Below are 15,942 nucleotides of genomic sequence, written 5' to 3' on the forward strand. Positions count from 1 at the left end.
GGAGGCGGAGGCAGGCATATTGCTTGAGTCCAGAAGTTTGAGAAGCCTAGGCAATACAGTGAGACCCGTCATTACTAAAAGTAAAAAAATTAGCTGGGCATGGTACTGCACCTGTAGTCCCAGCTACTTGGGAGGCTGAGACGGGAGGATTGCTTGAACCCAGAAGGTGGAGGTTGCAGTAAGCCAAGATCGTGCCACTGCATTCCAGCCTGGGTGACAGATCAAGACACCCTGTCTCAAAAAAAAAAAGAAACCCCACAGATTTAAGTCAATAAGAATAGTCAATATAGATCAAGTCAAGAATAGTCAAGACAGATCAAGACACTGTCTCCAAAAAAAACAAAAAAAAGGAAACCCCCTTATTCAGTCAATAAGATTTAGTCAATATAGAATAGTCAGTAAGCTCATTCTTAGGCCAGACTTGTGGCAAATTAACGGGAATTTAATCCAACCCCTACCTTCCAAAGAGCCAAAAGAAACAGATAGTTGTAGTATCTAATTGTGAAATGTTAAACTATCTATAAATTCCAGACAAGTATAAACATTCAGCAAACCATTATCACATTTATTTTACTTACTGCACCACCAGTAGCAATAGCCATATCTTTAAGCTGGTTCTTTCTATTGTCACCAAACCCTGGAGCCTTGACTGCCACAACCTGAAGACCAACCTTTAGCCTGTTAAGAATAGTTGATAGTAAGATTTAAATGAAATAAAAATGCCTATCTGTTTAATTCCCCTCAAGCTGTTACTAGATTACTTAGGACTCCCTAAGTAATCTGGTTTGGTTTTTGTGTTTTTTTGTTTTTTTTTTGCTTCCTAGCAATTTTTGATCAAATTAAGACAGGAAGTATCTGAGACAGTTTAGGCTATTTTCTATTAATTATACTTGTCCATATCCGTTTACCTTCTTAATAAACTGTTGGCCTGGCCGGGCGTGGTGACTCAGGCCTGTAATCCCGGCACTTTGCAAGGCCCAGGCAGGTGGATCACGAGGTCAGGAGTTCGAGACCAGCCTGGCCAAGATGGTGAAACCCTGTCTCTACTGAAAATAACAAAAATCAGCCAAATGTGGTAGCAGGCACCTGTAATCCCCACTACTCAGGAGGCCGAGCAGCAAAAATCACATCACAGTAAGTTATAGGATACAGTGATAACTATTATGAATGGTAGAAAAACAGTAATTACTAAATATTACATTTGAGGGTCATTTAATAAACATCTCCATATATTAATGCTGAGTTTTGAATGAGCAATGTTCTGAATTCACTTCTTTTATAAATGTTATACAAAAAGCTGACAGTATTGTTAAGCTCACCTGAAATTTTTACCAGGTAAATGAATACTTGGAATGTGTAATCAAATGTCCATTTGAGAGCAGATTGTGAAACAGAAGCAACGTTCAAACTTCAAGACAGCTGGTCTATTTTATTAAGGACCCAAATAAAAATCAGAGGAATAAGCTATATGCTATGTAAACTGGATATCCCACTTTTCAACTAGCAGTAAAATGGCTTAATGAAAACTCTGTAGGCTTGTTTTTTTCTGGCCTCAAGTCTTTTTTTTGTGTGTTTTTTTTTTTTTTTGAGACAGAGTCTTGCTCTGTCGCCCAGGCTGGAGTGCAGTGGCGAGATCTCGGCTCACTGCAACCTCCGCCTCCTGGGTTTACGCCATTCTCCTGCCTCAGCCCGCCACCACGCCCAGCTAATTTTTTGTATTTTTAGTAGAGACGGGGTTTCACCGTATTAGCCAGGATGGTCTCCATCTCCTGACCTCATGATCCACCCGCCTCGGCTTCCCAAACTGCTGGGATTACAGGCATGAGTCACCACGCCCAGCCAAGTCTTTTCTTAATCCCTCCAAAAAAGCAAATCCAAGCTAAGAAAAACATTCCAGGGTAAGGCAGCTCATTAGAGCTTTTGGGTCAGATGAGCACGTGTAATGTCTAAAACGTACCTGTTAATGTATGCATTTCTACTATAACAAAATGGAAAGAAAAGTCTTGCTTCTGACATACTTCAATTCTGAGATAAGGAAGAACAAACATTTTAATAATGCCCTTAGATTGTCTGCAGCATGAACATTACCTGTCTTAAAGTTTAAACTAATAGTAAACTATAGCTTAAAATGTAGATTTAAATAAGTGACTAGACCTCACCTTATTTTAGATTGGGTGCTATTTTCTCTACTTCAGACTATTTAGTAAACATTTAACAACAGACTAAATACTTGATCACAGCCAAGGGTAGTGGCTCATGCCTGTAATCCCAGCACTTTGGGAGGCTGAGGTGGGAGAATCACTTAAGATTCACCAACAGTTTAAGACTAGCCTAGGCAACATATTGAGGCAACATATTGAGACCTCGTCTCTACAAAAAAATTAAAAGATCAGCCAAGTGTGCTTGTGCAAGTGTGTAGTCCCAGCTACTTGGGAGGCTGAGGCAGGAGGATTGCTTGACCCCAAGAGTTCAAGGCTGCAGTGAGCTATGATCGTGCCGCCGCAGGCCAGCCTGGGTGACAGAGTCTGTCTCTCAAAATAAATAAAAATATTCGATGGTGAAATACACTTACATCTGAGTTATTTATTTAGAGACAGAGTCTCGCTTTGTTGCCCAGGCTGGGGTGCAGCAGCACAATCTCGGATCACTGCAACTTCCGCCTCCCAGATTCAAGTGATTCTCCTGCCTCAGCCTCTGAGTAGCTGGGATTACAGGCACACGCCACCATGCTCTGCTAATTTTTATATTTTTAGTAGAGACGGGGTTTCACTATGTTGGCCAGGCTGGTCTGGAACTCCTGATCTCAGGTGATCCACCCGCCTGTGCCTCCCCAAGTGCTGGGATTATAGCTGTGAGCCACCATGCCTGGCTCTGAGTTATTTGGAAGTTAGTTGTTTACTTCCCTGTTCTATGCAAAATAATATTCTGAAAATTTACATATTTTTAACCAGAAAAACCTTAAAAAAACAAAACAAAACAAAACAAAAAACAAGATTGACACTTGAACCCCGGAGGCTTGAGCTGAGATTGAGCCACTGCACTACTGCACTCCAGCCTGGGTGACAGAGACTCTGTCTCCAAAAATAAAAATAAAAAATAAAAAAATTACAAGGCCGGGCGCAGTGGCTCACACCTGTAATCCCAGCACTTTGGGAGGCTGAGGCGGGCGGATCACGAGGTCAGGAGTTTGAGACCAGCCTGGCCAATATGGTGAAACCCTGTCTCTACTAAAAATACAAAAATTAGTCAGGTGTGGTGGCACGCACCTGTAGTCCCAGCTGCTTGGGAGGCTGAGGCAGAACTGTTTGAACCTAGGAGATGGAGATTGCAGTGAGCCAAGATTATGCCACTGCACTCCAGCCTGGGCCAGGGAGTGAGACTCTGTCTCAAAAAAAAAAAATACAAGATTCAGTCATGTGCCTTCAAAACAACTGTAAACACTTGCAAAATACAGAAAGGTACCCATGTGCTAAATTAGTCTATTCTATGAGAAAGCTGATCAAAATAGTAAAGACTTTGGGGTTCCTTCAAAAACACAACCATAAGGATACATTAGAGCACACCTGATTTACACAATTACAATTCTAGATACAAACCCAACTGGATCAAATGTGGAGGTACACATGATGGAAACTGCAAACAGCAATACAAATAATTCTGTCTTTCACCGAGAAATATAAATCAACAAATACCACTGCTTATTACCTATTCAAGACGAGTGTACTTAGAGCTTCTCCATCAACATCTTCAGCGATTATGACCAAAGGCTTACGGTGAGCATTGGCAATTTCAAGAGCAGGTACAATGGACTGGATACTAGAAATTTTCTTTTCACTCAACAGAACATAGGCATCCTGGAATTCACATTTCTGACCTGTAAAAATAATGAAGATTTCAAAAATATACAAAAAATGACTGCAATACATTTAAATGAAAAGCGAAACCAAGGTTCCAATACACTTTAAAATTCACCAGTGAGTTGGTTTTCCTCCTTCATTTCTCATATGCATTAACTTTTGGAATATATACATTTATTTTTTAGAGGATGACACCAACTAATACCTATAGTTTGACACATATTAGAAAGTATATTTTAAAAACTTCAGGAGGCCAAAGCAGGCAGATGACTTGAGGCCAGGAATTCAAAACCAGCCTGGCCAACATGGCTAAACCTTGTCTCTATTAAAAAATTCAAAAATTGGCCAGGCACAGAGCCTCATACCTATAATCCCAGCACTTTGGGAGGCCAAGGTGGGTGGATCACCTGAGGTCAGGAGTTAAGAGACCAGCCTGGCCAACATGGTGAAACCCCATCTCTACTAAAAATACAAAAATCAGCCTGGCATGGTGGCGTGTGACTGTAATCCCAGCTACTTGGGAGACTGAGGCAAGAGAATCACTTGAACCCGGAAGGCGGAGGTTGCAGTGAGCAACGCGCCACCACATCATGCCACTGCACTCCAGCCGGGGCAACAGAGAATGAGACTCTGTCTAAAATAATAAAAATAATAATAATTCAGTTATTGATTTGTTCTTACCTTTTGATGTATTAATAAAGTATGGAGAAATATAGCCTCGATCAAACTTCATGCCTTCAATAATTTCTAATTCATCATTCAGTGTTTTTCCATCCTATGAAAAGTCAAAGAATTAGGTATATGGATTTCATTGAACACAAAACATGGAATTACAGGCCAGATTAATAAAAACAGACCCCTCTGGCCATAAGAGATGCAGGGTAGAGTATGAAACAGCCCAGGACATCCAATTACACTTCTGCAAAAAATCCCAAAAGTGCTTATTTGAATAATCATTTAAGTTAGGATGGATTCATTTCATGCAGCAAAGGCTAATTCACATAAAACACAGTAAGTACTTTATTCTATACATGTGCTGAGACTACATATGAAGGAATAAAAAAAGCAGTTTTTAAAACAGAATTTTTCTGTTTGAAAAATTCAGTTTTGATCATCAGATAACTCAAACTTTTGATCATAAGATAACTCAAAATTATCTTTAAAAATACAAACACACTTGCCTTTACTGTGATGACACCCTTTCTTCCAACTTTTTTCATTGCATCAGAGATGATATTGCCAATTTCTTTGTCTCCGTTTGCAGAAATCGTAGCAACCTGAAATAATCCAGTTACTCTTCGAAATTAAAAGGTAAGCCTAGTGTCCTCAGTCAGTTCCCTTACCTTTTCCTAGTAACTTCCAAATTGATACTTCCATCCAGGGGAGAGAAGGGGAATTTACGTTATGGTAGTTTTCATGAAGTACTGGTTCTTTGCTCTTTTCCGATTCATTATTTGACTACATTGTTTTGAAGAATATGATACATAAAACTATTCTTGTAACAAAAAGTTTAAAAATGCTGACTTCATTACAAACTGACAAAACTTATGCACCTTTGACAATGGCTAAGAACATTTTCACAATCATATGAATCCATTTTACAGCCATGTAGAACTAAAATGACAACCACATGTAGAACTAAATGACAACCATTATGGTCATAATTCTTTTCAAAGGTTTTAGCAGTAAGAAACAATGATTCTAATATTGATGATTGGGTAGTATTGTTATTCTGACATTGGTGTGATCAAGGGAAAAAAAAAATCACACATGCCATTAAATTTTTTTTAAAAAACGTGTAACATGTTAAGTCCTTACCTGTGCAATTTCTTCAGGGGTGGTCACAGGTTTAGACTGCTTTTTAAGTTCAGCAATTACAGCATCAACAGCTAACATCACACCTAGTTCAACGATATATGTCATTACAATGTTTATTTCTCTCATGGCTTCTATGTCAAGTAGAAATCTTGAGATTTGTGACAAATATTTTAATGCCTTAACTTAAAAAAAAAAATTTTTTTTTTTTTTGAGACAGGGTCTTGTTCTGCTGCCCAGGCTAGAGTGCAGTAGCACAGATCATGGCTCACTGCAGCCCTGACATCCTGGGCTCAAGGGAGTAGCTGAGACCACAGGCTCAAGCCACCATGCTCAGCTTCTTTTATTTTTGTAGACAAGGTCTCACTATGTTGCCCAAGGTGGTCTTGAACTCCTGGGCTCAAGCAATCCTCCCACCTCAGCTTCCCATGTAGCTGGGACTACAGGCATGTACCTATGCTTGGTCTTTAGTGCCTTAATATTAAATTTACACACAGCTTCTGAGACAGTGCTTCTTAATAACACAGAGTTGCGTGGCATGTACTTAAACAGTAACTTTAGGTTCACACAGTAAATAAAATCTCACAATGCCAAAATTTTGAAAATAGGACTAAAACAAGGTAGATGTGTGTAGTTTCAAAAGTCTCACCACTGAACTCATCCTATGCAAATTCCTAACCCAATCATGCTGTTTCCAATAGGGTCCACGACACTTCTCATGTCCATTAGATGATGCAAAAAAGGACCAAAATGGCTAACACTCCCTTATTTTCAACAAGAAGTACAGTTCTTAAATGATAGGAATCTGTTGTGACTATGCCTCTGCAGGTGTCAATTATCTGAAATCCCCTCAATTTAGTACGTATTATGAACTAACAAAATATTTTTGTTTTACATCAGTCTTAATAGTCCCATTTTGCTCAATTGGGAATAGTGCTAGCTCTCTTGTTTGAGAACTGTTACTTCAAAAAAAATCCAATGCAAGGTGCTGGTAAGTCCTCTTCATAACCTTAATTAATACTTGTTAGTGATTTACAGTAAAACTGCTTTTAGTGAAGTATATTCACTTGGCCCATAAACACTGAAATAGATGAGGTAATGATACATTAGTAATGTAGTAATAAATTAGTATGCCAATTCTGACAAAAAATTACCAATAGCTCCCCCCACCTTCACTTACAAGAGGGTTCCTGGTTTGAACCCTAACATACCCTAGATATACATAGCAATTCTGCTGATAGGAAAACCAAGTCTTAGCACACAGCTAATAAATGACAAACATGGGACTAGAATTTAAGTCTATACTGCCATGAACCTCATGAGGAGGAGCAAATTGTTAATTAAGTTGCACTCTAGTTACAAGCACTAACAAAACACAAACCAATAACATGGTGTGTGCTATTAAGAAAAAATAAACTGAGGAAAACATTACTTTCTGACATTCTGAATGATCCAGTGTATTTAGTCTTACTTTCTACAAAACTAAACTAAAAATTAGCCAGGAATGGTGGTGAGTGCCTGTAGTAGTCCCAGCTACTTGGAGGCTGAGGCAGGAGGATTGCTTGAGCCCAGGAGTTCCAGTGCAGTCCAGCCTGGGCTACAGAGCAAGACCCTGTCTCTAAAAACAAAAGAAACCAACTAAGTAAAATATCAAAATTACCTAACAGTACCTACCCACCATACAGCCAAGCTTGCTAAAGGAAAACCCAGTTTAAGATTTCTCCAGGCCAAGAGGAGGAATGAGAGAAGGATTAATTTCCTCAAGTTAACACTTTCCTTAGGTCCAAGGAATCAATGCCTTAAAGCACACTGAAGTTTAGAACACTGTGGTGACAACAGACATTCCTACCTCTCCTGATTTCCACTGGATTAGCACCTTTGCTAATCTTCTCGAAGCCTTCCTTGGCTATAGAGCGTGCCAGTACAGTAGCAGTGGTAGTGCCATCCCCAGCTTCTTCATTTGTGTTATTGGCAACATCTTGAACAAGTTTAGCTCCAATGTTTTTGTATTTATCTTTTAAGTCAATTGACTTTGCAACAGTCACACCATCTTTTGTTACTTTGGGACTTCCCCAACTCTGCTCAATAATCACTGTTCTTCCCTAGAAGAAAAAAATGTAACAGGATCAGACATACCCTAAGGATGATTTACATTTTTAAAAATGAGCAGTCTTCATAATAAAGCAACTACTTCAAAGTCTCAACGTAAGTTGTGTCATTTTTATCAGTCTTGCAGCATGAACCTCAAGGGCAAGTTTATCGACATTCTTTGTCTACAGACAAAATGACCTGATTCTCTGCCAAGAGCATAATTTTGAACTAGGTAATTTAGGAGATTAAAATCCTAGGGACTAAAACTTGTCATCTTATAAAATGAACAAGAACACAAGACAAAGAATAAAACAATCTTCCTATCACTTATACTTTAGTTAGTGCCTGTTATCTTTTAAAGTAATGTGACTTGTTTTAAAATCCGTTTAACTAAAATATTAACCATCAAGGCAAGTAGCGTGCTCTTCCAGGTTCACGCAACATAAAACTTCAACCATGGCACAATTATTGGCCATCCTTTGGATTTGAACTAAAGCTGCTACTTTCTATTTGTGAGGTGTGCAAATGTTGTATTTTAGGCAGTTGTTGGATCACTTGATATCTGAACTGTCTTCAAACTGAAATGAAGCACCACTTGACTGCACACCACCTTCAAAGGCCTCCTCAAAACATTACCCCTATTAAATGAGACTTATTTTAAATATGCTTTGGAACAAGAGAACAGCAGAAAACCGATGGGTAAAACTAGCATCTTGGGGTGGAGGAGAGAATGGGAAGCTACTGTCTAATGAGTACAAAGTTACAATTTTTCCATATAAAAAGTTTTGGAGATGGATGGTGGTGATGACTGCACAACATAAATGTAATTGATGTCCCCAAAGTGCACACTTAATGGTAATTTTATGTTGTGTACATTTTACTACAATAAACCAAAAAAAAATTTAGCATCTACAAGCACATACCTAAGGAATTATGGAAGATAAGTTAAACTCTTCTCTCTACACTTGGCATGAACTACTGGGAAAGGATCCAAATTTTAACTTAAGCCAGCGAAATTCTACCTCGAGTTTAAGAATCCACCTTGAGCTGTAAGTTACTACCTGATTACATCACACATTGAACAAAATAGTTTCGAAAATCTGGCTGAAGCAGTTTAAGCTTTAAGATCATGTCTAAGAAAAAAAGGCTAACCAATACTTCAGAATTCTTACATGTAAACTGAGTTCTCTCAAAAATGGAGATGAAAGTACTGTTGAATAGTTCAGTGCGACTATTTGTGAGTAAAATGCTATTAATAATACCGTAATTACAATAAAATAAAAATACTGGTACCTTTGGCCCCATTGTAACGGCCACAGCATCGGCTAAAAGGTCTACACCTTGAAGCATTAAGGCTCGGGCATCTGCACCAAATTTTACATCTTTGGCATAAGCCCGAGTGAGATGAGGAGCCAGTACCCTGGACACCGGTCTCATCTGGCGAAAGACTGTGGGTAACCGAAGCATTTCTGGGGATGGAAGCAAAAAGATCATCAGAACTACCACCCGTGGTGCGCTGCAGAACAAACATGCCCACCTGTGCAACAGAGCAAGCAACGTGAGATGCTGAGCCTGGCTGACCTCCGCCAGCCACTACGCCTGAATGACGGAAGGCGCCGCAGCTTCGGAACATCAGCCACTAGCGCAAGCTAAAGAGGCCGCCCCGGCCGGCGCCTGACCTATAGCACCAGCACAAAGCACATGCGGCTCCTTCCCCACGGCCACCTATCCCTGCCGCCAAAAACGAGTTAATCTTTCACCGCGAAAACGGCCTTGTGGGCAGACCCACTCCAACTGTGGCCCCTGAGAAACCAAGTCAGCCGGAGAGAGGCAAGTTACAAATCCAAGTGACCAGGGAAGTTAAAAGTATTCCTGACGGTGCAAAAAGCCGCTCAGCAAAGTGTCTCCATGGATCCACCCAAGGCTACTGTATCAGAGCAACCAGCAAGGCCGCGATGCTGGGGGCGGCGGCCCGGCCCACTCGGCGCGAGCCCACGTGTCCTTCTTTCCGAACGCCCCCAGCAAGGTCAAGACTGGAGGCGCGGTATCCCAGCTGCCTGCGGGGGAAAAAAGCGGTTCCCTCACGTACACCACCCTCCCCGGTTCCCTGAAGTCGGCCAGGCGCAGGTTGCACCAGCGGGCCTAAGTGGTTACAATCCCCCAAATTCAAACCCCACGAGTTGTCCCTCCCGCGCCCAGCCGAGGTCCAGGATCCGCGTCGCACGTGATGGAACCCGCATGGACCCGCGAGGCCTGGACCCGCAGGCCTGGGCCTGCGGTGCGGCGCGGTGCGGAACTCCAGGTTGTCGCCGCCCGCACCCTCCAGCTGGACCGCAGAGGAGGAAGGCCCACTCGGGGGTCGCAGGAGCCGGGGGGAGGTGGTGCGGGAAGGCCGCGTACCTGCGGGGCGGCGGCAAGGCGTGCGCTCGGCGAGACAGGTCGTCGGCGGCGAGTGAGGGACAGAGTGCAGGGCGCACACCGCAATGAGCCCGTGTCCCCTCCCTCCGCCTCTACTCCCGCCCCGCGGCACCGCGTGTGCAGGCAGCTCCCACCCACTTCCCGTCAGCCCGGGCCCTGCAATCTGCACACCCTGCGCGCGAGCCCCGCCCCTCCCTACCCGCGCAGGGTGTGCTAGCGCGCTCAGCCCTCTCCGGCCGGCTTAGTCTAGTTCCCGGGCCTCGCTCGGTTCCAGAACTTTCCAGAAAATGCCGCGCTCCCTACGGCTCAAGGGTCAAATCGCGTCATTTCCGGGAGGGGACGAAGGGGTAGTTCTTTCACCTCGGCTGGGCGCCTAGAAAAGCCTAGAAACAGCTCCTTTTTTCTTCCGCCTCCGAGTCTTCGCGTCAGCGTCCTGCGCAGGGCCCTTGGGGCGAATCGCGGTGCGCGTCGGGGCGACCGCCCTCCCTCCCTGGGAGGGGCGAGGGGGCTAGCGGCGACCGCTGGGGCGAGCGCGCCTGCGCGCTGGGTGATTTTTTCACGTGTCGCCAGGGCCGGACTGCGAGTCTCTTTGCGGCGCTACACTAGAGCAGAGTACGAGTCTGAGGCGGAGGGAGTAATGGTGAGTCCCGCGTGGCCCCGAGGCCTGCAGGCCCGGGCCTGTCTGAGGCGTACGGGGATCCCTGACGCCCCTCTTTTGTTGGGCTGGGCGGGAGGGATTGGTGGCCACTCAGTGACCAGCGCCCGATGGCACCTTGGAGCGGCAAGGCCCGCCCGACCCTTTTCTCCCCCAGGGCTCTTTGCACGCGCGTGTGCTGCCGGTGTGTAAGGCAGGGGGGCGAGAACCCGGGCGCACGCGCAGCGTCTCACCTGCTTCTGCAGGGCCTTTGTGGATGTGTAATATCTTGGGTAAAAATCATGGTGCCAGGCAGGGAGCTTGACCCAGCGTTTCCTGAAAATTTCTGGAAAAACCTGAAGAAGGAAAACATTTGACCTTGGAATAAACTAAGGTTGACCTTAAAGCTGGTCTGGTTGCTCACCGGAGGAGCGACAACGACCCCTAACAGACGTAAGGAATCGGGAATTAAACTTGGAATATTGGTTAGTACATTCAAATGCGCTTCCTTAACGAATAAGCTGAGGTTTGGTGTTAACTTTCAAAGCCAAAACGTGTTGAGATGTATAGCACGGTGGCGTTGCCTGTTGATAATGTGATTACATTTAGTTTTTGTTTCAAAACATTTCTCTTCCTACAGGCAGGACAAGCGTTTAGAAAGTTTCTTCCACTCTTTGACCGAGTATTGGTTGAAAGGAGTGCTGCTGAAACTGTAACCAAAGGAGGCATTATGCTTCCAGAAAAATCTCAAGGAAAAGTATTGCAAGCAACAGTAGTCGCTGTTGGATCGGGTTCTAAAGGAAAGGTAAATGGGAGCTGCAGTGGAACTATTTTTTATAGTGTGCAGTGGAGGGAAAAGAAGTAATTCTGGAGTATTAAAAGTCGCTTATTAAGTAGAGTTTATGTCGTTTTCAAGATCATTAACTGCTTTGGTTCTAATCTGTTTCTTAAAGGGAAATGACTAATATAAAGTTGCTTATTTTATATGACCAATGCTATGATGCTTATTTTATGTGATAGTTTCAGAGTATTAAAAATTGTCCTCAATAGGCCGGGTGCGGTGGCTCTCGCCTGTAATCTCAGCACTTTGGGAGGCCGAGGTGTGCGGATCACAAGGTCAGGAGTTCAAGACCAGCCTGACCAACATGGTGAAACCCCGTCTCTACTAAAGATACAAAAATTAGCCGGGTGTGGTGGCATGCGCCTGTAATCCCAGCTACTGGGGAGGCTGAGGCAGGAGAATCATTTGAACCCTGGAGGCGGAGGTTGCAAGGAGCCGAGGTTGCAAGGCGCCCCTGCATTCCAGTATGGGGGACAGGGCGAGATTCTGTCTCAAAAAAAAAAAAAAAAAATCCCCTCAATAGCAATTTGGTAGCCTAGTGTGATCAGTGTTTGCCTTACATTCTAAATTTTTAATAAGACAAAAGAGGCTGTGCGTGGTGGCTCACACCTGTAATCCTTGCATTTTGGGAGGCCAAAGCAGGAGGATCGTTTGAGCTCAGGATTCAAAATCAGGAGTTCAAAATCAGTCTGGGCAACATAATGAGACCTCCTGTCTACAAAATAAATAAATACAAAAGATGTGCTTCAAGGTAAAATGAGGGGGCATTTAAGAATTGAGAGGAAACTTGGACTGTTCGTTTAACCCCTAACACATTGAAATTGCCCTAATCTTAACCAGTTGGTATACCTGGTTGTATACCTACCAGAGGAACAGGTTGGTCAGTCTTGTCCAATCTGCAGCCTGGGACAGCTCTGAATGCCGCCTAACGCAAATCCCTAAACTTTCTTAAAACCTGATATTTCTTTTGCAATTTTTTTTAAGCTTACCAGCTACTGCTAATGTTAGTGTATTTTATGTGTGGCCCAACACAGTTCTTCCAGTGTGGCCCAGGGAAGCCAAAAGATTGCACACCTCTGTTTTAGATGTTCCTCAGTTAATTGTTTAGGCCTCGGGCTTCTAAAGATCTCAGCCAAAATACACAGTAAACGCCGTTGGGGCCAAATAATGTTAACTGCATTGTTCTAGTTGCTTCTGAGGAGGAAAGCTCTACTGAGGAGCTGTCATGGAGTTAGGAATAGGAAGACTTTGGGGAGTGGACACTTAGCTGCAGTCCCTTTCCCCAAATCTGTTCTTTGGAGGGAACAAAACAATCACAAGAGTATGTTCTAAATCCAAAAAAACTTTAAATTTTTGTATGTTGAAAGAAGGAAAATATGACCATTTGTATATGGCATTTTCTGGGTGCTGGCTACTGTTGCAGGTTTATTTCATATAGTTGATAAGTTATGTTAATATTTAACAGTTATAAAGTTAGCTTTAGTTAACTAAAGTTAGCTTTTCCAGAATATTTTCTTGAACTTTTACGTTGGAGTCAGGTTTTAGTTTAAGCCACTGTGTATTATTTCAAAGTGTAACTACAGTGGTATTTTTGAGTGAAGATCTGTAATTCTAGTATGAGTCGTATCACTTAGCCACGAAATATATTTTTAATATAATTGGATTTGAGTGACCATGTTTCATTAGTTGTAGTGATTTAAAAGTTAACTGTTTATGTTGGGTGAACTAGATATCTTTGCTAATAAACATCCTTCCTTTTTTAAGGGTGGAGAGATTCAACCAGTTAGCGTGAAAGTTGGAGATAAAGTTCTTCTCCCAGAATATGGAGGCACCAAAGTAGTTCTAGATGACAAGGTGTGTAAACTTAATAATTCTAAAAAGAAGTCAGATATTTGCAATTAGTTGTCTTAACTAATGGTTTTTTTCACTTGCAGGATTATTTCCTATTTAGAGATGGTGACATTCTTGGAAAGTACGTAGACTGAAATAAGTCACTATTGAAATGGCATCAACATGATGCTGCCCATTCCACTGAAGTTCTGAAATCTTTCGTCATGTAAATAATTTCCATATTTCTCTTTTATAATAAACTAATGATAACTAATGACATCCAGTGTCTCCAAAATTGTTTCCTTGTACTGATATAAACACTTCCAAATAAAAATATGTAAATGAGTGGTTAATCTTTAGTTATTTTAAGATGATTTTAGGGTTTTCTAGTTTATGCTTTTTTTCTGTTTTTCAAGTAACCTGCAGAGAATTTTGGGAAACAGGATTTTCTACGTAGGTGCATTTTCACACTGAATTTAGCTTTATTAATACATGATTGATACTGATACCAAGCCATGGATTTACTTTTTTTTTTTTTTTTTCTGAGACGGATTCTCACTCTGTCACCCAGGCTGGAGTGCAGTGGTTCAATCTTGGCTTACTGCAACCTCCGCCTTCTGGGTTCAAGTGATTCTCCTCCCTCAGCCTCCAGAGTACCTGGGATTACAGGCGTGCACCACCATGCCCAGCTAATTTTTGTGTTTTTAGTAGAGACAGGTTTTGCCATGTTGCCCAGGCTAGTCTCAGACTCCCAAAGTGCTGGGATTACAAGCGTGAGCCACCACAGCAACATTCAGATTTCAAATATAACAAGCTAACGAGTTACAGGTCTTAAGGTGTTCAATACTTTGTGGATACAGGTCTTCATTCCTAACTCCAATTTATATAAATACAGAGCATTTTTTGCATGGTTTAATGTATACTGAATTCCCAGGTACACAAGTACCATGTAAATTGAGGGAAGAATTATACTTTCCATTTTTTTCTTTTTTTTTTTTTGTGGAGACAGTCTCACTTTGTCACCCAGGTTGGAGTGCACTGGCACTGTCATGGCTCACTGTAGCCTCCACCTTCTTCCCAGGCACAGGTGATCCTCCCACGTCCGCCTCCTTGAGTGACTGGGATTACAGGCATGCACCACCATGCCCTGCTAATTTTTGTATCTTTTGTAGAGATGGGGTTTTGCCATGTTGTCCAGGCTGGTCTTGAACCTTCTGGGCTCAAGCAATATGCCTGCCTTGGCCTCCCAGACTGCTGGGATCACAGGCCTGAGTGAGCCACCATACCTGGCAGCTTTTTTTATTTTTTAGAACTTTAAGAGTTGGTCAATATTTCGGAAAATCAACTTCTGTACATTAAAGTTAGGACATTACCTTATTTTTTTTTTTTAATGGTGATGGGTTATATTTATGCTTTTCTATTTGACACTAGTTTGTCAGAGTTGGAAAACAGCCACATGCTCACCTAGTCAGTGTGACCTCAATGTAGTTGAGATGAGAAACAGGAAGACTTCAGTGTAGTTTCTAACCTGATACTGGCATTTAATATCAGGCATATGATGTCCTATCAAGTTTCTGAAAGACAACGTGAAAAAGGCATCACATAGTCCTTGAGGGGTGATCGTCCTTGGCGGCCAGCAGCAATGACAAAGCAGTGAGCGCACCAGGGTCACCCCGCTCAGCTGTGGTACATTTTTCCCTTGGCTCAGCTGTAATCCATAGTTTCACCCCAATTAACTTCCCAGATACATTGCGTCTTTTAAGCTTTGTTTTGTATTGCATTGGAAAGAACAGTGCTGAGAAGCTCTCCATGGTTACCTGAGCCTCAGTGACCACCATCTTCACCTGAAGCTGCCCAGCATCCAGTGACCAAGTATCTAAGGCCACTTAGCAATACTGGAGTTGCTCTGGTATCCTCCAAGTGTTTTTTTATGTCTTGTTTTATTTTAGGAAAATTTAATTCTGGAGTGAACATTTTTTTTTTTTTTGAGACAGTTTCTCTGTTGCCCAGGCTGGAGTGCAGTGGCATGATCTTGGCTCACTGCAATCTCCGCTTCCCGGGTTCAAGCAATTCTCGTGCCTCAGCCTCCCAAGTAGCTGGGCTACAGGCGCCTGCCACCATGCCCTGCTAATTTTTTGTATTTTTAGTAGAGACGGGGTTTCGCCATGTTAGGATGGTCTCGATCTTCTGACCTCATGATCCACCTGCCTTGGCCTTCCAAAGTGCTGGGATTACAGGCGTGAGCCACCGCGCCCGGCTCATTTCATTTTTAAAAACTTAACACTGCTACATAATTTGGTTAAAAAAAAAATCTAAGGCAAGTAATTGCAGCTACTTGGAAGGCTGAGGCAGGAGAATGGCTTGAACCTGGGAGGCGGAGGTTGTAGTGAGCTAAGATTGCACCACTGCACTCCAACCTGGGTGACATAGACTGTTTTGAAAAAAAAAAAGTATAT

The 15,942-nt window shown here is 42.6% G+C and overlaps 3 protein-coding genes across 4 annotated transcripts in view, besides 3 other annotated features; 2 read left to right on the top strand and 1 right to left on the bottom strand.

Annotated features, from left to right (window-relative positions):
• Positions 1 to 10,656, bottom strand: part of HSPD1 (heat shock protein family D (Hsp60) member 1) — a 13,691-nt gene extending 3,035 nt beyond the window's left edge. The window contains exons 1-8 of one of the 2 annotated variants that reach the window (NM_199440.2): positions 10,542 to 10,656; positions 9,057 to 9,232; positions 7,522 to 7,774; positions 5,676 to 5,758; positions 5,039 to 5,134; positions 4,539 to 4,632; positions 3,706 to 3,874; positions 579 to 678 (exon numbers count right to left, since the gene is read on the bottom strand). In NM_199440.2, coding sequence (NP_955472.1) covers positions 579 to 678; positions 3,706 to 3,874; positions 4,539 to 4,632; positions 5,039 to 5,134; positions 5,676 to 5,758; positions 7,522 to 7,774; positions 9,057 to 9,230 — 969 coding nt within the window. In that variant the 5' untranslated portion in view covers positions 9,231 to 9,232; positions 10,542 to 10,656. Of the gene's footprint in view, positions 1 to 578; positions 679 to 3,705; positions 3,875 to 4,538; positions 4,633 to 5,038; positions 5,135 to 5,675; positions 5,759 to 7,521; positions 7,775 to 9,056; positions 9,233 to 10,163; positions 10,223 to 10,541 lie in introns of those variants that run through there. The other variant, NM_002156.5, reaches the window with a different exon arrangement.
• Positions 10,102 to 10,431: a silencer, noted in NCBI's record as "silent region_12213". NCBI's record gives its function as "represses an Ori minimal core promoter by ATAC-STARR-seq in GM12878 lymphoblastoid cells {active_cell/tissue: GM12878}" and the evidence as "EXISTENCE:reporter gene assay evidence [ECO:0000049][PMID:35858748]".
• Positions 10,622 to 10,681: a silencer, noted in NCBI's record as "silent region_12214". NCBI's record gives its function as "represses an Ori minimal core promoter by ATAC-STARR-seq in GM12878 lymphoblastoid cells {active_cell/tissue: GM12878}" and the evidence as "EXISTENCE:reporter gene assay evidence [ECO:0000049][PMID:35858748]".
• HSPE1 (heat shock protein family E (Hsp10) member 1) lies at positions 10,761 to 13,831 on the top strand. The gene is made up of 4 exons (NM_002157.3): positions 10,761 to 10,821; positions 11,456 to 11,620; positions 13,421 to 13,510; positions 13,591 to 13,831. Exons 1-4 carry the CDS (start codon positions 10,819 to 10,821, stop codon positions 13,639 to 13,641), a joined length of 309 nt encoding a protein of 102 aa, NP_002148.1. The 5' UTR covers positions 10,761 to 10,818; the 3' UTR covers positions 13,642 to 13,831.
• HSPE1-MOB4 (HSPE1-MOB4 readthrough) overlaps positions 10,761 to 15,942 on the top strand; it is a 53,321-nt gene continuing 48,139 nt past the window's right edge. The window contains exons 1-2 of the mRNA NM_001202485.2: positions 10,761 to 10,821; positions 11,456 to 11,620. Of these exons, the coding sequence (NP_001189414.1) occupies positions 10,819 to 10,821; positions 11,456 to 11,620 (168 nt within the window). The 5' untranslated portion in view covers positions 10,761 to 10,818. The remainder of the gene's footprint in view (positions 10,822 to 11,455; positions 11,621 to 15,942) is intronic.
• Positions 10,822 to 10,881: an enhancer, noted in NCBI's record as "active region_16939". NCBI's record gives its function as "activates an Ori minimal core promoter by ATAC-STARR-seq in GM12878 lymphoblastoid cells {active_cell/tissue: GM12878}" and the evidence as "EXISTENCE:reporter gene assay evidence [ECO:0000049][PMID:35858748]".

This window comes from Homo sapiens, chromosome 2, assembly GCF_000001405.40.
Source record: "Homo sapiens chromosome 2, GRCh38.p14 Primary Assembly".
NCBI classification, from domain to species: domain Eukaryota; kingdom Metazoa; phylum Chordata; class Mammalia; order Primates; family Hominidae; genus Homo; species Homo sapiens.